The sequence below is a fragment of the Homo sapiens genome, chromosome 9 (assembly GCF_000001405.40).
Source record: "Homo sapiens chromosome 9, GRCh38.p14 Primary Assembly".
Classification (NCBI taxonomy): Eukaryota; Metazoa; Chordata; class Mammalia; order Primates; family Hominidae; genus Homo; species Homo sapiens.
In genome coordinates, this window is record NC_000009.12 from 137,310,341 (window position 1) to 137,332,422 (window position 22,082).

General features: G+C 59.8%; 1 protein-coding gene across 6 annotated transcripts in view, besides 8 other annotated features; it reads right to left on the bottom strand.

Annotated features, from left to right (window-relative positions):
* Positions 1–22,082, bottom strand: part of EXD3 (exonuclease 3'-5' domain containing 3) — a 116,267-nt gene that overhangs the window by 3,445 nt on the left and 90,740 nt on the right. For all 6 annotated transcript variants that reach the window (NM_017820.5, XM_047423544.1, XM_047423543.1 and 3 more), the window contains 2 exons: positions 13,750–13,803; positions 13,385–13,516 (listed from right to left, as the gene is read on the bottom strand). In NM_017820.5, the coding sequence (NP_060290.3) occupies positions 13,385–13,516; positions 13,750–13,803 (186 nt within the window). The remainder of the gene's footprint in view (positions 1–13,384; positions 13,517–13,749; positions 13,804–22,082) is intronic.
* Positions 28–950: an enhancer, noted in NCBI's record as "H3K27ac-H3K4me1 hESC enhancer chr9:140204820-140205742 (GRCh37/hg19 assembly coordinates)". NCBI's record gives its function as "activates a minimal SCP1, AML or CMV promoter by ChIP-STARR-seq in naive H9 embryonic stem cells {active_cell/tissue: H9 hESC(naive)}" and the evidence as "EXISTENCE:reporter gene assay evidence [ECO:0000049][PMID:30033119]".
* Positions 951–1,872: an enhancer, noted in NCBI's record as "H3K27ac-H3K4me1 hESC enhancer chr9:140205743-140206664 (GRCh37/hg19 assembly coordinates)". NCBI's record gives its function as "activates a minimal SCP1, AML or CMV promoter by ChIP-STARR-seq in primed H9 embryonic stem cells {active_cell/tissue: H9 hESC(primed)}" and the evidence as "EXISTENCE:reporter gene assay evidence [ECO:0000049][PMID:30033119]".
* Positions 4,309–5,244: an enhancer, noted in NCBI's record as "H3K27ac-H3K4me1 hESC enhancer chr9:140209101-140210036 (GRCh37/hg19 assembly coordinates)". NCBI's record gives its function as "activates a minimal SCP1, AML or CMV promoter by ChIP-STARR-seq in primed H9 embryonic stem cells {active_cell/tissue: H9 hESC(primed)}" and the evidence as "EXISTENCE:reporter gene assay evidence [ECO:0000049][PMID:30033119]".
* Positions 5,770–6,239: a silencer, noted in NCBI's record as "silent region_20613". NCBI's record gives its function as "represses an Ori minimal core promoter by ATAC-STARR-seq in GM12878 lymphoblastoid cells {active_cell/tissue: GM12878}" and the evidence as "EXISTENCE:reporter gene assay evidence [ECO:0000049][PMID:35858748]".
* Positions 6,460–6,559: a silencer, noted in NCBI's record as "silent region_20614". NCBI's record gives its function as "represses an Ori minimal core promoter by ATAC-STARR-seq in GM12878 lymphoblastoid cells {active_cell/tissue: GM12878}" and the evidence as "EXISTENCE:reporter gene assay evidence [ECO:0000049][PMID:35858748]".
* Positions 8,711–9,346: an enhancer, noted in NCBI's record as "H3K27ac-H3K4me1 hESC enhancer chr9:140213503-140214138 (GRCh37/hg19 assembly coordinates)". NCBI's record gives its function as "activates a minimal SCP1, AML or CMV promoter by ChIP-STARR-seq in primed H9 embryonic stem cells {active_cell/tissue: H9 hESC(primed)}" and the evidence as "EXISTENCE:reporter gene assay evidence [ECO:0000049][PMID:30033119]".
* Positions 9,981–10,615: an enhancer, noted in NCBI's record as "H3K27ac-H3K4me1 hESC enhancer chr9:140214773-140215407 (GRCh37/hg19 assembly coordinates)". NCBI's record gives its function as "activates a minimal SCP1, AML or CMV promoter by ChIP-STARR-seq in naive H9 embryonic stem cells {active_cell/tissue: H9 hESC(naive)}" and the evidence as "EXISTENCE:reporter gene assay evidence [ECO:0000049][PMID:30033119]".
* Positions 10,616–11,249: an enhancer, noted in NCBI's record as "H3K27ac-H3K4me1 hESC enhancer chr9:140215408-140216041 (GRCh37/hg19 assembly coordinates)". NCBI's record gives its function as "activates a minimal SCP1, AML or CMV promoter by ChIP-STARR-seq in naive and primed H9 embryonic stem cells {active_cell/tissue: H9 hESC(naive and primed)}" and the evidence as "EXISTENCE:reporter gene assay evidence [ECO:0000049][PMID:30033119]".

Genomic DNA, 22,082 nt, shown 5'->3' on the forward strand with positions numbered 1-22,082 from the left:
TCAAATGAGCCTCCCACATCAGCCTCCTGAGTAGTACACCACCACACTCAGCTAATTTTTGTATTTTTCGTAGAGATGAGGTCTCACGATATTGCCCAGGCTGGTCTTGAACTCCTGGGCTCAAGTGATCTTTCCATCTGGGTTTCCCAAAGTGCTGGGACTCCAGGTGTGTGCCACGCCCAGCCCCTCTGGGTGGTTTCTGAGTATGACCAACCTGCCAGGCTTACTGCGATGCTGGGGGTGGGGGCAGGGAGGCCGGGAGGCTAGGACCAGCTTACACCCGAGTCCTGACTTGGAGCGGGGTGCACGGCCTTCCCAGTGGTCACTTCCTGGACAAAGAGACGGGTCAGATACCCAGGACTCCCCTGGCAATGCCAGGAGGGGGCTGGGTGCCCACTGAGAGCCAGGTCCCAGGCAGGCACCTGCAGGTCCTGTGGAGGTGTGGCCTTCCCGTCACAGCCCTTCTGATGTCAGAGCACCCTGGGGAGGAGGTGGGGCTTCCAGGCCATCTGTGCAGGGGAGCAGGGAAGAGGAGGCCGAGATCCATGGTCACATGGCTATTCCAGGACCCCTCCCCATGCAGGGGCTTTGGGTTGAGCCCCAGATGACATGGCTGCCGCAGGCAGGTGGCCTCGAGGCCCCTGGAGCCTCCGGGTGTGGCCATGTTGGGGGCACCGGCCCTGCCCCACACGCTGTCTTCCCCTGAGCCTTTCGAAACTAAGAGGCTGCACTACCTGCCTCCAGCATTGCAGCCCCCACCAGTTCAGGGCCCTGGGGCTGGAGGTGTTGGACAGGTGGGGCTCTTCTACTAGGACGCCAGGCTGGGCTAGGGAGACAGGACCCTCCCTTCCTCTTCCGCTAGCTCCCATCTCTCCCACCAGGAAGCTCCTTGTGCCATGATGGCAGGTCCTGTGACCTGGCCTCTGGGCCCAGCCCAGATCTGGGTCCAGCAGGCTTCCTGGGCAGGTGTGTGGGTGGAGAGCCCTGGCTGCAGGTCTGGCTGGGAAGGGCTGAGAACAAGCAGGTGGTCCACCCTCCACAGAGCCCCACTCTCCACTGTGCAGGCCACCTGTAGGGACAGTGCCAGTGGGTGTAGGAGAGGTGGCGAGGCTGCAGCAGTGCGGGATGGGCTCCCCACACCCCCAAATACTCCACATGGGGTCCGGGGCCTTCCCAGGACCTGGGCCAGGTGCGCACGCCTGGGCGGGGCCAGCCAGCTCGTGCTGAGTCACCGGGTGCCGTCAGTGAGGGCCTGGCCCCACCCTCGGGAACCACCGGTGCTGGTTTTCCCACGGCTGCTGCCCGCTGTGGGCCTTGCTGTCACCCACAAGGCCCTGGGAGGCCCTGCCCCGGCCAGGGCTGGGAAAGCCGGTTCTGGGCCCACTGGCTGTGCCCGCCCTTGGACCTGGGCTCCCCAGCCACAGGGGGGCCTGGCAGCGAGGGCCTCCCTGTCCATCTGTCCACTCCAGGGCTGGCAGCCCTTGCTGGACCGACTGCCCTGGGCGGGTGGCTGCCACGGGCTGAGGGAGTGAGTGGTGCTGGTGGCCCAGCGCACGTCTTGCCTTTGGACAGCGATCGTCCACCTGAGACCACCTGCCTGATACCCTGAGACCCGCCCCCCAGCACTCGGGGGCTGAGAGCCCCTGCCCTCCCATTTTGAAGAAAAGGGGCTTCTGAGGGCTTGCTGAGTCACAGGGCACTCGGCGGGCCAGGACTCCATGCCAGGGTTCTCACGCCGCCTCCTTCCATCAGTGTGGGACGCACAGACACCCACTCCAGGGTGCCGTCGGGTCTGGGCAGAGACAAGTGGGGCCTGACGGGGACCCTGAGCAGAGGTCAAGGCTGTGGGTCCAGAGCAGCACAGCGGGGTGCCTGGGCACCTCCACCCCACCCCCTCCAGTCTGAGAGCCCGAGGGCAGGCAGCCACCACCCCCAGAGCCTGACTGGGAGGGCGGGGTGGGAGGGCCCAGGTGAATGGGGGGCAGGAATGGCTGGGAAGGCTCCCAGCTACCTGCCCAGGATCCCCCGTGTGCCTGGTTCCCACGCTCCTCAGCCACTGGGTGCCAACAGCGCCGTGCCAGCCCTGACACAGGGCACTTCCGCCCGGGACTGTGCGGGCTGGGCCACGAGCCCGTGGGCGTGTGGCTGCCTCCTGGGGGCCGGGCCACCAGCCAGGCTGTCCTGGGGATGTTGGGGCCCATGGACCCACAGCCAAGTGGGTCTGAGTGGACGCCCACCCTCCAGGGCCCTCTCCTCTCCAGGCCCAAGGAGGAGTGAGGGAAAGAGCTGCTCAGCCACTGCCCCAGAGCTGGCCATCTGGGGAGGCGCACTCAGGACCAAGGCAGAGGCCAAGATGTGTTAGGGTGGGGTGAGCAGCTAGGAGGGCTCGAGGGGTCTGTTCCCAGGGTGTCTGGGGGCTCTGAGCATCAAAGCTGGGAGCCACACCCACGAGTAGGCCCAATTCCCACCCCCACCACCAAGGGAGCGACCACAGCTGAAGGGGCCAGCGCTGGGCTGCAGAATGTGCCTCCAGCAGTGTCTGTGTGCCCACCTGACCTGACCTGGTGCCCACCTGACCTGGTGCCCACTTGGGTGTAGGGGTCACACCCACTGCCCCAGGCTGCAGGCCTGCAGGTGTGCCAGCCTATGCATCCCAAGCAATAGGTGGCTGGTGCACAGGAGTGGTGAGGGAGGACTGGACGCTCCCAGGCAGACAGGACTGGGCAGCTGCACATAGCCCCTGCACACAACACCCTTGGACCCCACCCACCCCTGAGGCCTTGGGTCTCGACAAGTCGGAGGCTTGAGGGAAAGAGGAGGGCGAGACACGAGCCCTGGGACCTGCCAGGGCCACAGCATGTGGGGAACCCGTGTCCTGGGGTGTAGGGCAGCAGGCAGTGGCCTGTTGGGTTGGGAGCCTGGGAAGGGAGCTCTGCTCCTCCAAGAGACTGGGCCAGGTGTCTGCTGGGCCTGGGCAGAGGTGACCTGAGCATCCCTCCTGCCTGCCGGCCACCCTGGGGACTCCCACAGCCCCTGCTCTCCTAGCCCAGTGGAGCTCAGGTCCCACCACCAGGCTGGGAATGAGCCCAGGTCCCTCGGGTGATCTGGCCTGAGGGGTTTCTGCTCTGTGCCCAAGCCCAGCTAGACATGACCCCCTGAGAAGGTGGGGTGGGAGTGTGAGGGTGGCAGGGGCCTCTTTGGGGCCTCCTGCTTCTGAGCAAAGAGCAAGCTTGTTGCAACCTCAGCCCAGGCCTGTCTCCTGCACTCCTCCCTCTGGGCCCCATGGGGGGTGTGGCAGGTGGGGTCCGTCGGGCTGGGGCCCTGGCCTGGGTGGAACTCCTGCAGGAGTTGCCAACCTGGGATTTCCAACCCTGCAGGCAGGTCCAGGAGGAGTCAAGGCCTGAGGCCACCAGGCAGGGCGATGGGGCTGTAGGAGCACACTCTGGAGCAACAGGACATTTCTGCTCATTTAGAGCAAACTGGGAAAACGGCAAAGCATGAAAGAGCAAAGATAAAATCTCACTCCGTCCCACCACCCACCACACGAAAGGGTGCCCAGCACCTTCCCTGGACAGGCCTCTGCACGGCTAGGACTGTGTGCGGAGATCCTCACATCGGGAAGAGGGATGCTGGCGGGGGTCGCCAGTGTGCCGTCCCAGGATGGACATTGCACATTTGGTCCCTGGCAAGCCCCTGGGTGGGTCCTGAGGCCCCCAGGCTGCCCTGTGCACTCTGACCTCCCCTAGAGCCGCCCAACCGATGGTGGGGACTGGGGTGTGGGCCTGACACCTTGCTGGACAGGGCGAGCCAGCGGCCCAGGAAGAAGCAATCAGGCACCAACCTGCCCGCCGAGGCCTGGGTCTGGCCCACACCTCACCTTCCCACGCTGTCCCCAGAGTGCCTTGCAGCCCTGGGCTGCCCGCCCCAAAGGTGACCCGACACTGTCCCCTGCTGTGGCACTGTGAGCCTCTTCAGAGAGAAGGGAGTTGCGAGTTTGCCAAAAGAACCTGGCCAGTCCCGGCACTGACTTTCCACTGGAGACAGTGCTGGGGTGGGCGGAAGGCCGAGCCCCTGGCCCCTGGGGAGGTGTGTGCAGCTGGGGATAGCGGCCGTCTTTTGGGAAGCTTTTAAAACCCAGTCTATCCCCGTGGAGCAAGCTGGTAGCCACCCGCTCAGTGACCCCCGCCCTAAGGCCCCGGGAACGTCTGGAGCCTGTGACTGAGGGTGGCAGCCCTGGAGAGGCCTCGCCCCTGCCCCCTTGCCCCCTGTCCCCCCGCCCCCAGGGCCCCGGAAGGGCAGTTCCCACGAACCCCAGCCCCTCCCCCACCCAGCCGCTGCCCCGTCCCCTTTGTGTGGCCAGGACAATGTCTCCACAGACAGTGTGGGGGATGGGCCTCGGGCAGCGTCGGCGGCGAGAAGGTCCCTGGGGGTCGGGACAACTGGGCCCACAGCCCTCACCCCAGAGCCCCCAAAAGCCAGGGCCCTGAGTGTGGGAGAGGAGTGAAAGGGCACGTGAGTCTCCGGAGGCCGGGTCTGGGCACACGTGCGCAACAGCCAGCCCCTCGTGCGCGGGGAGACGTCTCTCAGAAGCACCAGGGACACGGGCGTCTGCATGTGGGTGGGTGTCAGGGTGTGAGCCAGGAAGCGTGTTACTGCCTCACGGTGTGGACACAAGGACATGTGGCCGCCCGTGTCAGGGTCTCCACTTCCTGCAGCTCCCTTGGAATGTGCCCCCTGGAGCCACCAGCCCTGCCTGGCCCACCAGGCTGCCCCCAAGGCTTGCTTAGCAGGGTGGGGGCTAGCGCCTGGCAGTGGGTCACCATGCGACACCTTGCCCTCCTTGGCCCAGCACCCCTCTGCACAGGTCACCCCAGACCAAGTTCCCGTGAGGGGCCTCAGCCTTTCCCTGGGCACCCCCCGACCGGGCTTTCGGGCCTGGGCCCTGATGAAGGAAGGCCACCCCACCCTGTGCCCTCAGACCTTGGTGTCCAGGCCTGGGGCTTGGCTGCCTTTGCCCACCTCCTCCCAGCCTGCACCCCCACCGCCACCGCCGGAGAGACCACGCGTGTGGGCCTGACCCGCTGGCAGCTCTGAAGCCTGTGGCCCCAGCCCCGGGTGTCTGGCACCCCTCTGGGTGTGGCCCCTGTTGCAGCAGACTTGGGGGCCCCCGGCTGACCCGGTCCAGGAGGGCTGGGGGTGAGCCACAGGGCCTGGGCAGGAGGCCGAGGCCCCGGCACCGGGTCTCCCACTCACATGGGATGGTCAGCCCCCACCCCGGGGGAGGGGGCAGCAGGACACAAAGCCCCGTAGTGTGAATTTCAGATAAAGTGCAGGATACTTTTTTATATGAAAAAATGACCGTTTTCTGAGATTCTTGTTAGCAAGCGCCTGTGTTTGTCAGATCCCCGGCCTGCCCTGGGCGGGCAGGAGGAATAAAAACAGGGTCAGGAGCCCCAGACCCCACTCCCCGCCCAGACCCGGGCCGCTCCCACCTGCCTTGGGTCAAACCAAACAGAAGCCGGGCCACACAGGGTCCCAACACGGTGCCCTGGGCCTCGGGCTCCCTCCGGGGGCTCCGGGGCGCCCCCACACCGTCCCCATCCCAGGGGATGGCAGCTCCCCCCTCCCCCTCGCTGTGGCCCCCTCCCGTCTCTGAGCCTCCCAAGGGAAGTCCCCCTTCTCCCCCTCCCCGGGGCTCCAGAGCTTCCCCTCCCCCCTCGCCCCCCAGCTCTCGTTCCCTCCCCCGGCCCCCCCCAGCCTCGGCGGGGCGCGGCGCGCTGGCTTTCCCAGACGGGGGAGGGGCGGCGGCCGTGAGAACCCGCCGGGCCGGGCCGCGTGGGAAAGTGGGAGGAGGGGCGGCGGAGGGCGGGGCGCGCCTGGGAACGGCCCCCGCCCCCGCGGCCGGCCTTGGAAACGGCCACTCAGGGCGCCCGGCGGAGATTCAAAAGCTAACGGCCGCCCGCCCGCGGCCTTCGCGCGCCGGCCTGGGGGACCCCGCCTGCCCGTCCAGGGTCGCAGGGGTGTGTGCAGGGGGCCGAGACACCCTCCTTCCCAGGGGCCGCGGGGTCGCTGGGGGACTCGGCCCCCCGCCCGCAGAGGGGGGTAGCCCGCGCGCCCCGGGCGTGCCCATTCCAACCAATGGGGCCGGTCCCGGCAGCAGGTGGCAGGCCCTGAACCCGCCCCAAGCGGCCCTGGGCCGACCCTCGCAGCTCCCAGTGCCCGGGAGGCAGGGCCCCAGTACTCCCTCCAGGAGCGGTGATGGTCCCGCCATCGACTGGGGGACTTCCTGGAGGAAGCGACGTCTAAGCTGGGGCCTGGCAGGCCAGGGGGAGACGGAGGCTGCTCCGGGCTGCAGGGGCTGGGGGACAACAGAGTGGGGCGAGGGCCCCGGGCTGGGCAGGGTAGAGCCGCTGGGGGCTGAGTCTAAGAGGAGGCCGCGGTGGGAGCCGCGTGGGCTGCTGGAGCCTGGGAGCCCCGCCCCGCACAGGGGCCTAGGTGTGACGGGCCTGCCTGGATGGAAGGGGAGTGGCCCGTTCAGCCCACCCTGCTCTGGTCCTTCCAGGGGAGCTCTATGTGGGAGGGGCACGTTGTGGGATCTTCAGAGGAGTTGGGGAGCTGGGCAGGGACCTCTTCTCCTCTCCCCACTTCAGCAAACCCATGTCATGAGGCATAGGGGTGCAGGGGGCAGCTCTCCTGCTCAGCCTGACAGGGCGGCCCAGGTCATTCTCTGAGCGTGGCGGGCCTGGAGGGGGTGGGAAGGAAAGGGTCAGGAGACCCCAGCCGGCCTGTGAGGAGGCTGAGGCTCAGGAGAGGCAGCCCTGCCTCTGTAGCTGCGGGCAGGGGAGGCGGCCCCAGGCGCGCACCTGCCAGCCCACGCGGGGCCTCTCCTGTTGGATGGGCAAAATGTGGCGACTGGACACAGACCCTACCTTGTCACCCTGAGGAGCTCCCCAGGACTCCCTCCCTTGAACCTGGCCATGGCCGGTCCCTCCTGCGTGCACCCCTGGCACCCCGAGGACAGCCTGCCCATCCCATCCATCCAGGCTGAGTGGAGCCAGGCCCCGGGGCCACCTGAGGAGGGCAGTGGGTCTCGGCATGCTGCGTGGCCCTCTGGTCCTCAGGCACTACCTCACGAACCTGTGGTCCCCAGGCCGGTGGGTCCAGGTCCTCCATCCCCAGGGGCCATCTGGTGGGAACCCAGGCTGGGCTCTGGCTGAGACCCACAGCTTTTCTGGAAGGCTGCTAGGAAAGGGGGGATGAGGGGGCAGTGGGGCCTTCTGGAGGGTCTCCAGCCCAGAATGCTGTGGAGAGGTGGTGTGGGTGGCCTCCTGGGGGAACCACCTGGACCCCTGGCTGACCACCCTCCTGTCAGCCCTGGGGGCTGCACTAAGCCCCCTCAGGTGCCATCACTCCCTCTTTGTCCCCAGCCTGGGTGTCGTGCTAGGCCCACCCGCTGCTGAAACTTGCCCTGCAGTTCCATGCCCTGGCTGGAGGGCCCGTCTTCCTCCAGAGCTCTGGGGCTGGGCCCCTACCGCCACCTTAGGAGCAGGGAGGAGGTCCTTCTGTACCCTCTGTGCCTGTGTGACATGGGGGTGCCAAGCGTGGGAATGGGGTCTGGGCTGAGACGGACAGAGCCTGGGAGGGGTGGGGTCTGTGGCCGCTGCACCTCTTCCTGTCTGTCCCTCTGTCTATCAACTGAGCACAGAGAATGTAAGGGTCTCCAGGCCCACGGCAGGAATGGGCGGCACTGGGGCCCCCAGGCTGGATCTTGGGTCTGGGCTCTGAAGCCCCTGTCCACGGCAGGCTCCAGGTGCTGAGTGTGAACGCTGGGGGCAGCTGTCCTGGAGCCCACTCTGTCCCCTCCTCGAGAACCCCCTCTTGGACCCCTGTCTGCTGGGCTGGGGTCCACCACCCTCCCCAGGGTCCCTGCCCAGCCCCACAGGGCTTCCCAGGCGCCCATGAGCTGGGCCCCGGCTGCCGGCACCCCCCCTCGTCCCCCCCATAATGGCCAGCTCTGCCCGGGAGCCCTCGGAGGCAGGGTCACCACAGCCTCCTGGGATGCCCACTTCCAAGGGGCTGACGCCACTGTTTCAGGACGTGTCCCCGTGGGGGCTGCAGCCCGCTCCTCAACCATGCTGGGGGGGTGGGGACTGGGACGGTAAAAATAGACGGTATGCCTGGCCATGTCAGGGGTTCATGGTAAGGGTTTTTTTTTAAGCTTGAGCTTCTTTGATAAAATATTTTCCCATGGTAGACGGCACTGGGAACGTTCCCCACCCCCACCCTGCCCCAGAGGGCACGGCCCTGCCCTCTACTTGAGACCCACAGCCACTGTGGCTTCTGTGGGTGGGCCGGTGGGCCATCCTCGCTCGAGGGGAGACCCTCCCTGCCTGGCTCAGGGGCACACGTGGGCAGATGCTACCAGAAAGCCGGCACCAGCAACCCCAGCGCCCAGGAGTCCCACCGCCTGGGGTCTCTGCTGAGTGGTGGGGCCGGCGGTGGCCACAGACCCCTGGCCAGGCCCCTGGCCCAGCTTTGGGCTCAGCCATGAGCGCTGTTGCTCACTCCCTGCTGTGTGCCCACCGTACCACCCAGAGAGCACCCCAGCCTCGCTCTGGGAACCCTGCACGTTGAGCGGGCTTTCCCTCCGGGAACGGCACCAAAATAGCAGAAGGAAGAAGAAAATGGAAAGTCAGCCCGGCGGCAGGCGCTCTCCAGGGAGGTGGTCAGCTCTGGCCGGAGCTAGGGGACAGCGGAGGCTGTGAGCCTCAGATCCTGTGACCAAGCCCAGAGCCAGGCCCCGTGGGCAGCTCCAGGGCGGAGGGCCGATCTCTCCTGCTGCGTCAGCCTGAGCGTGCCGCTCTCTGCTGGCTAGTGATGGCCAGCAGCCCTCTGGTGTCCAGATGGGTCATAGCCAGCCGAGCCCTGCACTGTGGCTGCGGTGGCAGGCCCGGGGTCTGCAGCTGCGTGGAGCTGGGCCTGCGTGGTCCCGGGGCCCGGCCTCCATTGTTTTGCCCGTGCCTACCTCTTTGGCCCTGAGGATGGGCCTCTCTTCACCTCTGGGGTAGGGATGGGGCAGCCAGTGTGTGGGGTGGCCGATCAGTGGTGTTCCCAGCTGCCTGCTCAGGCCAAGCTCCCAGGGTTCAGCTGGGAGCACTGAGGCTGCAGTGCTGCTGGAGTGGGTGGTGGGAACGTGGCCTGAGCCTGCCCAGCCCTAGGAAGAACTTTCTAGAGCACATGGTCATCACGGATGTGTGGCTTGGGGCCCTGGCCCTCCAGGCCCTGAGCACCTCTCGGGACTCCAGAGCCAAGGAGGCGGGTGCGCACATGGGACCCTGGGCTGTGGGCATTGGGCCACCACCCGGCTGAGGCACTTGTGCAAAGCAAGCTCCATTCTCCCACCTGGTGACCTGGAAGGCTGGCTTCAAATGTAGACATCTCAGCTTCTCATAGACCCCTTTCTTGCTCTCCTGGCCCCATCGCACTGGCCCTGAGGGACCCTTGTGCACATGGGGGGCCCTCTCCCAACAGCTCTCTGTCACCTGCCCAAGGGCATCCTGCTAGGGCCCAGCAGGGTCCCCAGCCCCAACAAGGGCCTCCCTCCCACCTGGGCTCCGACCTGAGGCCGCATGTGGCGCATACACGTGGGGCTCTGCATGGACCAGCACCCGCTCCTGCCAGCCCTGCACCAGGGGGTTCAGGTTCTGGTGTGGCTGCCAGCATGTGCTCTGCTCCCAGGCCGGGGCGGGCAGGGGGAACGCTTGGTTCTGTCCTCACCGCACACCACCCAGCATCTGCGGGATGTGCACACAGAGACGCATATGTCTGCAAGGCCCCTGGCCGGGCAGTCCGTGGGGCCAAGGCAGCCCCCCCGCCCCTTCCCCACGTCCTGCCCCCAGACAGAGGGGCTGGCACAGGTGGCAGGTCGCTGCCTGGGGCTGCAGCCAGGGCCCAGGGTACCCTCCAGGCCAAATTCCCCGCCGGCTGTTTGCAGTCTTTCAGATCCAGATGCTCCTTCCCTCACTGCCTTGGTCCTGGACAGCTGGCGCTGCCCTCTCCAGCCTGGACAGTTGCTGGCCCCCCACGGGGGTGCAGCTCTGGCCTTAGCCCCTCCCAGGCCTGCTCTACCTGCAGCCCCCCTGGGCCTGGCGCTCCTGCTTGCCACAGCAGGGGCAGCTTGGGGGTTGCAGGGTGTGGGTGGCAGAGTGGCATCAGCAGCTTGGAGCTGCCAGTAGCCAGCAAAGAGGCAGGGCGGACATGGGTCAGGGCGGCCCCCACTGCTCAGCCCCCGACGCCCCCATCCCATCCACTCAGCCAGGCCAAAGTCTGCCCTTCTGCCTCACACCCTGGACACCCTTCTCCATGCAGGGCTTGGCGGCCCCTCCATGCCTGGCCTGGGTCCTCAGGGGCACTCCCCAGCACCCGGCTGGCCAGGGCTCCAGCAGGGGTTTCCTCCCAGCTACCCAACTTCCTGTTTTCTCAAGAAAATGCAGCAGCCGATTCTGAACAGCTCATTAACATGCCTCCCCAGGCGTCCCGGACATCCTGGGGTCTTTACAGCGCTTGCTGGCCTGAGCACAGACAAAGAGAGGCAGCGGACGCGGTTCCTGCCGCCCCTGGAGCCCAAGGCTGCAGGAGAGGCCCCTGGAGCACACTTCCTTGCCACCTGAGGCAGAGGCCGCGGTCCCCGCAGGGCAGTGGGGTCAGAGGGTCAGACTGCACCCCCAGGCCAGGGGCAGTGGGAGGTCCAGGGGCCTGTGTGTACAGGTGCCTGGCCGGCTGCAGATCCGAGCCGAGCCGGAGCTTTCCCTCTTTCCTTCCTGCTTCAATCCCCGCCAGGCCCAGCCTGAGGCTGTGGGGGCAGAAGGGCGGTAGCAGAAGGCGCAGGCCTGCATCTGTTTCTGCTCAGCCAGGTGGGTGCCCTTGAGGACCATGGGGTGGAGCTGAGCTCAGGGCCCCTCCCTGCCCAGCCCAGGCACCAGCAGGGACCCTGACAGTGGCCTCCATGAGGGGATCTCCCTCCATGAGGGGGTCCCAAAACTTCCCCCAGAATTGGGCTTGGGAGGCTGGGATTACTCACGCCTGTCATCCCAGCACTTTGGGAGGCTGAGGCAGGAAGATCACCTGAGGTCAGGAGTTCAAGACCAGCCTGACCAACATGGTGAAACCCTGTCTCTACTAAAAATACAAAAATTAGCCGCCCGTGGTGGTGGGCACCTGTAATCCCAGCTACTCAGGAGCCTGAGGTGGGAGAATTGCTTGAACCTGGGAGGCGGAGGCTGCAGTGAGCTGAGATTACATCACTACACTCCAGCCTGGGCGATGGAGTGAGACTCCGTCCCACCCCCAAAAAACCCCAGGAAACAAAACTGGGCTTGTTGGAGCAGCCCCGACCTGCTGCTCCAGGCGGAATATTGATGTGGCCCTAACTGCGGAACGTTCTGGAAGCAGCCCGTACCCTCCACCGGGAACTGCCGAGAGCCAGCACAGCCCACAGTCCCCCTTGCTCCCGTGTCGCCCACGGAGACCCTGGCGCCTTGAGTGGAGGCGCAAAAGGCAGCATCAACTCCCCCCAGACTGGCCATGCCCAGGTGCCAGTTGGTGTGGGGCATAGCAAGCTTGGACAGTGCAGCCCTGGGCAGGTGCCTCAGCCCAGTCCCCCACTGGGGACAGGAGAGGAGGGAGAGAGGTGAGTTGGGCTTTGGTGCCCCCACCAGCCTCCTCTATGGATCTCCACCGAGGTGCGGCAGTTCCCACTCAGGGCTTCTGTTGCCCAGACCTTGTTAGACGTCACCAAGCAGACGCAGGCTGTCCTGCGTGTTGCCTTTGGAAAGTGGGACCCACCCAGCCTGAAGGGACTTCCACAATTTCCCTCGATTCCTTCTAGAAGCCCCATGGGAGCCAGAGGGAATTCCCCAAATCCAAGCCAATGCCTGATTGGAGCTGTCCCCGTGGCCATGCCAGCCTGCACTAGGGATGCTCTGCCGACGCCTCACCCTGGACCAGGGATTCTCTGCCGACACCTCACCCCGGACCCACAAGGGATTCTCTGCCAACATCTCACCCCAGACCCACGAGGGATGCTCTGCCGACACCTCACCCCGGACCCACGAGGGATGCTCTGCCGACACCTCACCCCGGACCACGAGGGATGCTCTGCCGACACCTCACCCCGGACCACGAGGGATGCTCTGCCGACACCTCAACCCGGACCACGAGGGATGCTCTGCCGACACCTCACCCCGGACCACGAGGGATGCTCTGCCGACACCTCACCCCGGACCACGAGGGATGCTCTGCCGACACCTCACCCCGGACCCCCGAGGGATTTTCTGCCGACACCCCACCCCGGACCCCCAAGAGATTCTCTGCCGACACCCCACCCCAGACCCACGAGGGATGCTCTGCCGACACCCCACCGCGGACCCCCGAGGGATTCTCTGCCGACACCCCACCCCGGACCCACGAGGGATGCTCTGCCGACACCCCACCCCGGACCCACGAGGGATGCTCTGCCGACACCCCACCCCGGACCCACGAGGGATGCTCTGCCGACACCCCACCCCGGACCCACGAGGGATGCTCTGCCGACACCCCACCCCGGACCCACGAGGGATGCTCTGCCGACACCCCACCCCGGACCCACGAGGGGTGATCTGCCGACACCCCACCCCGGACCCACGAGGGGTGATCTGCCGACACCCCACCCCGGACCCACGAGGGGTGATCTGCCGACACCCCACCCCGGACCCACGAGGGGTGATCTGCCGACACCCCACCCCGGACCCACGAGGGATGATCTGCCGACACCCCACCCCGGACCCACGAGGGGTGATCTGCCGACACCCCACCCCGGACCCACGAGGGGTGATCTGCCGACACCCCACCCCGGGCCCACGAGGGATGCTCTGCCGACACCCCACCCCGGACCCACGAGGGATGATCTGCCGACACCCCACCCCGGACCCACGAGGGGTGATCTGCCGACACCCCACCCCGGACCCACGAGGGATGCTCTGCCGACACCCCACCCCGGACCCACGAGGGATGCTCTGCCGACACCCCACCCCGGACCCACGAGGGATGCTCTGCCGACACCCCACCCCGGACCCACGAGGGATGATCTGCCGACACCCCACCCCGGACCCACGAGGGATGATCTGCCGACACCTCACCCCGGACCCACGAGGGATGATCTGCCGACACCTCACCCCGGACCCACGAGGGATGCTCTGCCGACACCTCACCCTGGACCACGAGGGATGCTCTGCCGACACCCCACCCCAGACCCACCACTGTCTAGGGTGGGGCCCACCTCCCTGGACACCCCCGTAGCTCCAGATCTTGTGCCAGCCCCAGGTAGGACGGGGTGCGCAGGACCCACCTGGCAGCGGCTGAAGATGTCTGCGTGGGTGACACGCACGTTGAAATGCTTGAGCACAGCCTTGGCCTGCTGCTGGGCCTTCAGGGAGCAGTCGACCGAGAGGCAGCGCCCAGCCCCGACCTGGGCCCGGAGCTGCAAAGACACGGCTCGGCTACTGAGGGGCAGTGCAGAGCCCAGCACCTGCCCAGGCCCAGCCCGCCTCCGCCAGCATGGGGCAGGAGCCTTCTCTCGGCCCACCAGGGGTACGGCAGAGGCGCTGGGGGTCGGCCCCACGGCAAGCTGACCCTGAGGTGGGGGTGGCCGAGGGGCTGGGGGCTTGGGAAGATGGGGCTCAGGCCCACTGAGCTTATCTTTGGGACACTCACCTTGTGGAATGGCTGCCCCGACGTCAGAATGATCCTCCCCTCCTGCCTGGCAACCTGTGTGGGAGGTGCGACCAGCACATAAAGGGGGCAGCTCCGTGCTCCTGGACTGGGCCACCTCTGCTCGCCACCCCCTAGCTCCCCGGATCGTGGCCCTGCCCCAGGCCCCTTTTGTCCTCCAGGGTGGCCTCTGCCTGGGGTCTTGGGTGGTGAGGAGCCCTCTGCCGGGTCCTGGGTGTCGCCTCATTGTATAGATTTAATCTTGGCACCACGCAAACATTTTTTTTTCATAATTAGAAACAAAATTGAATTTAAAAAGCCATCCCTCAAAAGCAGAAGAAAATGAAATACATAAAACATACACAGAAGTATTCCAAGAGACTCTGTAGAGATTTGAAAACACAGTAACTTGCCCCTAGCTCATAGGGAGCCAACTACACATCAAAAATGAAGAAAACCCTGCAATGACGATGCTCTGGGTGACAGTGTCGACGTGGCTCTTCCCAAAGCTTTGTATGAACTGTGGCATAAAACAGATGGATCATTTTGCTGATTTTGTGAGTATGAGAGTTTTCAGCTGACAAAGGAGATACAAAATTAAAATTAAGGATTTTTTTTGTTTTTTAGACGGAGTCTCGCTCTTTCGCCCAGGCCGGAGTGCAGTGGCGCTGTCTTGGCTCACTGCAAGCTCCGCCTCCTGGGTTCATGCCATTCTCCTGCCTCAGCCTCCCAAGTAGCTAGGACTACAGGCGCCAGCCACCGTGCCTGGCTAATTTTTTGTATTTTTAGTAGAGACGGGGTTTCACCGTGTTAGCCAGGATGGTCTCGATCTCCTGACCTCGTGATCTGCCCGCCTCGGCCTCCCAAAGTGCTGGGATTACAGGTGTGAGTCACCGCGCCTGGCCAAAATTAAGCATATTAAGCTTACAAGAAAACTCCAGATCTGAATAGAAAGCTTCAGTATGAATTTCTGATGTATGTTATATATATTTTTAAAAGTGTATTTCCACACAGTCCACTGCAAAGGCCTAGAGACAAGACCCAATCCCATCGCCGGGAGTGCCCTGTACCCAAAACTGGTTTCTACATACATTTTACACTAAAAGGAGCCCGAGCTTTTTGGAGAAATGACTGATTCCAGATCTAAGGTAGAAATGCAGACAACGAGGCCGGAGCGTCTAGATGCTGCAGAAAGCAACAGTGAAGAGCCAAGTGTCACATCCAAGGACTCAGGAGCCAGCAGGGCTCCCACACCACAGGGGGGCAACATGCCAGCCAGGGAACAGGTGCGGAGGAGGACACGGGACACCTTTCCATGCATTCAGAATGGTTCCTTAAAATCATCAGTTAACTTTTTTTTTTTTGAGATGGAGTCTCACTGTGTCGCCCAGGCTGGAGTGCAGTGGCACAATCTCGGCTCACTGCAAGCTCTGCCTCCCGAGTTCAAGCGATTCTCATGCCTCAGCCTCCCAAGTAGCTGGGACTACAGGCATGCACCAGCACACCCAGCTAATTTTTGTATTTTTAGTAGAGACGGGGTTTCTCCATGGTGGCCAGGCTGGTCTCAAACTCCTGACCTCAGGTGATCTGTCTGCCTTGGCTTGCTAAAGTGCTGGGATTACAGGTGTGAGCCACCGCACCCGGCCAAATCGTTAGTTATCTTTAAGAGTGCAAGACCAACTCAAAAACATCAGAGCTAATACTATAAAACTCTTAGAAGAGGCTGGGCAAGGCGGCTCGTGCCTGTAATCCCAGCACTTTGGGAGGCTGCGATGGGTAGATTGCTTGAGTCCAGGAGTCCTAGACCAGCCTGGGCAACAGAGCAAAACCCCATCTCTGCAATAAATAAAAAAACTAGCCAGGCGTGCCTGTAGTCCCAGCTACTTAGGAAGTCGACGTGGGATGATCACCTGAGCCGGGAGGTCAAGGCTGCAGTGGGCCGTGTTTGCGCCATCAGACTCCAGCCTGGGCTACAAAGTGAGAACCTGTCTCAAAAAAAAAAAAAAAAAGACTCTTAGAAGAAGACACAGGGGAACACTTCCTGGCGCTGTATTTGGCCAGGATTTCTTCGATATGACACCGCAGCAAAGGCAGCAAAAGAAACACTGGAGCGACTGGACCCTCATTACAGTGAAATGTACACGTAGGACACTCTGGAGGAATAAAACACCTCAGGGTGGAGACGTCGGTATTTGCAAATCACGTATCTGACGAGGGGTTGATATCCAGAGTATAGGAGGAACCCTATAATTCAACAACAGAAAAGCAAATAATCCAGTTTAAAAATTGAAGGGCAGGGCACGGTGCCTTACGCCTGTAATCCCAATACTTTGGGAGGCTGAGGCGGGAGGATGGCCTGAGCCTGGGAGGCTGAGGCTGCTGTGAGCTGTGATCGTGTCACTGCACTCCAGCCTGGGTAACAAAGTGAGACCTTATCTCAAAAAGAAAAAAAACAGTTGGCAAAGGACTTAAATAGACACTTCTTCAAAGATATACGCGTGGCCAATAAGCACATGAAAAGATGCTCTACATTATTCGTCATGAGCGACATGCAAATAAAAACCACAGTGAGACATCACATCCATTAGGGTGGCCTTTATAAAAAAAAAGGGAAATAAATGTTGGTGGGATGTGGATAAACTGAACTCTCATGCGTCACTGGCGGGAAGGTAAATGGTGTGGCCGCCGTGGAAAACAGTGTGAAGGTTCCTCAAGAAGTTAAACACAGAGTCAGTAGAGGATTCAGCAGTTTCACCTTTAGCTGTATATGCAAAAGAACTGAAAGCAGGAACTCAAGCACATCCTCATACATCAGTGTTCGTAGCAGCCACATTCAAAAAAAAAAAGGAAGGACGTTCCGACACAGGCTACGTCGTGAATAAACCCTTACGACACGCCGAGTGAAAGATGCCAGATACAAATGGGCAGATACTATATGATTCCACGTCTACGAGGTACCTAGGACAGGTCAATTCATAGAGGCAGAAAGTGGAACAGTGGCCACCAGGGCTAGAAGGAGGGGAGGGGAGATAACTATTGGTACGGAGTCTTTTTTTTTTTTTTTTGAGACAGAGTCTTGCTCTGTCGCCCAGGCTGGAGTGCAGTGGCACGATCTTGGCTCACTGCAAGTTCTGCCTCCCGGGTTCACGCCATTCTCCTGCCTCAGCCTCCTGAGTAGCTGGGACTATAGGCGCCCTCCACCACGGCCCGCTGATATTTTGTATTTCTAATAGAGACAGGGTTTCACTATGTTAGCCAGGATGGTCTCGACCTCCTGACCTTGTGATCCGCCCGCGTCGGCCTCCCAAAGTGCTGGGATTACAGGTGTGAGCCACCGCGCCCGGCCAGTATGGAGTCTTTGGGATGATACCCAGTTCTGGAAAGGGGTGGTGGTGATGGATATGTGATACAGTGAATGTGCTAATGCCACTGAATTGTACACTTAAAAATGGTTAAAATGGTCAATTTCGTGTTATGTATGTTTTACCACAAAAAGAAAGAAAAAAAGGGAAACAGAAAGTAGTTACTTCGTGGTAATAACAAATATACACCCATATGATGAGTAAAAACAACCAATATATACCTATATGATGAGTAAAAAACTGATATACACTCATATGATGAGTAAAAACAACAAATATACACCCACATGATGAGTAAAAACAACTAATATACTCCCATAGGATGAGTAAAAACAACAAATATACACCCACATGATGAGTAAAAACAACTAATATACACCCATATGATGAGTAAAAACAACGAATATACTCCCACATGATGAATAAAAACAATGAATAAACACCCACATGATGAGTAAAAACAACTAATATACTCCCATATGCTGAGTAAAACAACTAATATACTCCTATATGATGAGTAAAAACAACTAATATACACCCATATGATGAGTAAAACAACTAATATACTCCCATATGATGAGTAAAAACAACGAATAAACACCCACATGATGAGTAAAAACAACTAACATACTCCCATATGATGAGTAAAAACAACTAATATACACCCATATGATGAGTAAAAACAACGAATAAACACCGACATGATGAGTAAAAACAACTAATATACACCAATATGATGAGTAAAACAATTAATATACTCCCATATGATGAGTAAAAACAACAAATATACACCCACATGATGAGTAAAAACAACAAATAAACACCCACATGATGAGTAAAAACAACGAATAAACACCCATATGATGAGTAAAAACAACTAATATACACTCATATGATGAGTAAAAACAACGAATAAACACCCATATGATGAGTAAAAACAACTAATATACACTCATATGATGAGTAAAAACAACTAATATACACTCATATGATGAGTAAAAACAACTAATATACACCTATATGATGAGTAAAAACAAAAGTAAAAACAAACACAACTGGTAAATAAAGTAAATATACGGGAAAAAACCAAAGGAAACGGGTCAAAGGGAAGAAACAGACTAGTTACACAGGAGCTACACGGGACTACACGGGACTACACGGGGCTACACGGGACTACACGGGACTACACGGGGCTACACGGGACTACACGGGACTACACGGGACTACACGGGGCTACACGGGACTACACAGGGTCACACGGGACTACACGGGACTACACGGGACTACACGGGGCTACACGGGACTACACGGGACTACACGGGGCTACACGGGACTACACGGGACTACACGGGGCTACACGGGACTACACAGGGTCACACGGGACTACACGGGACTACACGGGGCTACACGGGGCTACACGGGACTACACGGGACTACACGGGGCTACACGGGACTACACAGGGTCACACGGGACTACACGGGACTACACGGGGCTACACGGGGCTACACGGGGCTACACGGGAGCTACACGGGACTACACGGGGCTACACGGGGCTACACGGGGCTACACGGGAGCTACACGGGGCTACACGGGGCTACACGGGGCTACACGGGAGCTACACGGGACTACACGGGGCTACACGGGACTACACGGGGCTACACGGGGCTACACGGGGCTACACGGGAGCTACACGGGAGCTACACGGGGCTACACGGGGCTACACGGGAGCTACACGGGACTACACGGGGCTACACGGGGCTACACGGGACGACACGGGGCTACACGGGGCTACACGGGAGCTACACGGGGCTACACGGGGCTACACGGGAGCTACACGGGGCTACAGGGGGCTACACGGGGCTACACGGGACTACACGGGAGCTACACGGGGCTACACGGGGCTACACGGGACTACACGGGAGCTACACGGGAGCTACACGGGACTACACGGGGCTACACGGGGCTACACGGGGCTACACGGGAGCTACACGGGAGCTACACGGGGCTACACGGGAGCTACACGGGAGCTACACGGGACTACACGGGGTCACACGGGACTACACGGGACTACACGGGACTACACGGGGTCACACGGGACTACACGGGACTACACGGGACTACACGGGGCTACACGGGACTACACGGGACTACACGGGGTCACACGGGACTACACGGGACTACACGGGACTACACGGGACTACACGGGGCTACACGGGACTACACGGGACTACACGGGGTCACACGGGACTACACGGGACTACACGGGACTACACGGGACTACACGGGGTCACACGGGACTACACGGGACTACACGGGGTCACACGGGACTACACGGGACTACACGGGACTACACGGGGTCACACGGGACTACACGGGACTACACAGGAGCTACACAGGACTACACAGGACTACACAGGACTATGCAGGACCACACAGGAGCTATACAGGAGCTACACGGGACTACACAGGACTACACAGGACTACACAGGACTATGCAGGACCACACAGGAGCTATACAGGAGCTACACGGGACTACACAGGACTACACAGGAGCTACACAGGACTACACAGGACTACACAGGACTACACCGGAGCTACACGGGACTACACAGGAGCTACACAGGAACTACACAGGAGCTACACAGGGCTCCACAGGAGCTACACAGGAGCTACACAGGAGCTACACAGGAACTACACCGGAGCTACACAGGACTACACCGGAGCTACACGGGACTACACAGGACTACACAGGACTACACAGGAGCTACACAGGAACTACACAGGACTACACAGGAGCTACACAGGGCTCCACAGGAGCTACACAGGAACTACACAGGAACTACACAGGAGCTACACAGGAACTACACCGGAGCTACACGGGACTACACAGGACTACACAGGACTACACAGGAGCTACACAGGAGCTACACAGGACTACACAGGAGCTACACAGGGCTCCACAGGACTACACAGGAGCTACACAGGACTACACAGGACTACACAGGAGCTACACAGGACTACAAAGGAGCTACACAGGAGCTACACAGGAGCTACACAGGACTACGCAGGACCACACAGGAGCTATACAGGAGCTACACAGGAGCTACACAGGGCTCCACAGGAGCTACACAGGACTACACAGGACTACACAGGACTACACAGGACTACACAGGAACTACACAGGACTACACAGGAGCTACACAGGACTGATGGACTTCTCGAGGGCAACAATGGAGCCAAAAGGTAGTGGAGGGTTTTCAAAGTTCTGTAGAGCTACAAGAATAAACCCGGCAACACTCTCTTTCAAGAAAGAGGAAACAGAGCTTATTAGAAAGGAAAAATGGCCCCAATTAAAGAACAAGGAAAATTCATTAACACGAAGGAGTTTGTCATTTCCCAGAGGAAGGTCTGCCATGCAACAAGTGGTCCACACATCATCAACACTAAAAGACGTCAAGACCATAAAACAAACATGATAATGTCTAATTTGCAGAATTAAGGAAGACAGCATCGTGTTAACATTCTGGAAGATGACAGCAGGGAAGGTATGAAAGACAAGTTGACCCTGCAAACGGAATCCAACAGCACATTAAAGCAATAATTCACCATGACCGAGTGAGTTTCATCCCAGGGATTCAGGGGGGTTCAACATGTGCCAGTCAGTAAGTTTGATTCATCACCTAAACAGAATTAAAAACAAAAACTACACGATCATCTCAGTAGATGCATACAAAGCACTTGACAAAATCTAGCATTGTTTTACGATAAAAATCCTCAACCAACTAGGCTTGGAAGGAACATACCTCAAAATGATAATAGCCATATATGACAAACCCGCAGCCAACATCATACTAAATGGGGAAAAGTGGAAACAGTCCCCCTGAGAACTGCAACAAGACAAGGATGCCCTCTCACCCTCCCACACTCACCCTCCCACCCAACATAGTATTCAAAGTCCTGACCAGAACTATCAGGAAAGACAAGAAAGAGAGGGCATCCAAATGGGAAAACAGGAGGTCAAACTATCTCTGCCAATGTTATGACTGTATACCTCGAAAACCCTAAAGGCTCCTCCAAAAGACTCCTCGATTTGACAAATGGATTCGGTGAAGTCTCAGGTTACAAAATAAATGTGCACAAATCAGTAGCACAACGACCAAGCTGAGAAGGAAACCAAGAACTCAGGCCAGGCGCGGTGGCTCACGCCTGTAATCCCAGCACTTTGGGAGGCCCAGGTGGGTGGCTCACTTGAGATCAGGAGTTTGAGACCAGCCTGGATAACATGGTGAAACCCCGTCTCTACTAAAAATACAAAAATTAGCGAGGTGTGGTGGTGCACGCCTGTAGTCCCAGCTACTCAGGAGGCTGAGGCAGGAGAATTGCTTGAACCCGGGAGGTGGATGTTGCAGTGAGCCGAGAGGGCGCCACTGCACTCCCGCCTGGGCAACAGGGTGAGACTCCGTCTCAAAAAATAAAAATAAATAAATAAAAAAGTGAAAAAAGAACTCAATCCTTTTTACAATATCTGCGCAACGACAACACACACACACACACAGAACAAACCTAGGAATGTACTTAACCAAGGAGGTGAAAGACTCTACAAGGAGAACTACAAAATACTGCTGAAAGAAATCATGAATGACGCAAACAAATGGAAATACATCCCATGGTCATGAATTGGAGGAATCGATATTGTGAAATAACCAAACTGCCCAAAGCAATCTATAGATTCAGTGCAATTCCTATCAAAGTACCAACATCGTTTTTCACAGCATTAGAAAAAACAATCCTAAAATCTGTATGAACCAAAAAAGAGCCTGAATAGCCAAAGCAGTCCTAAGGAAAAAGAACGAATCTAGGCCGGGCGCAGTGGCTCACGCCTGTAATCCCAGGACTTTGGGAGGCCGAGGCAGGTGGATCACAAGGTCAGGAGATCGAGACCAGCCTGGCCGACATGGTGAAACCCCATCTCT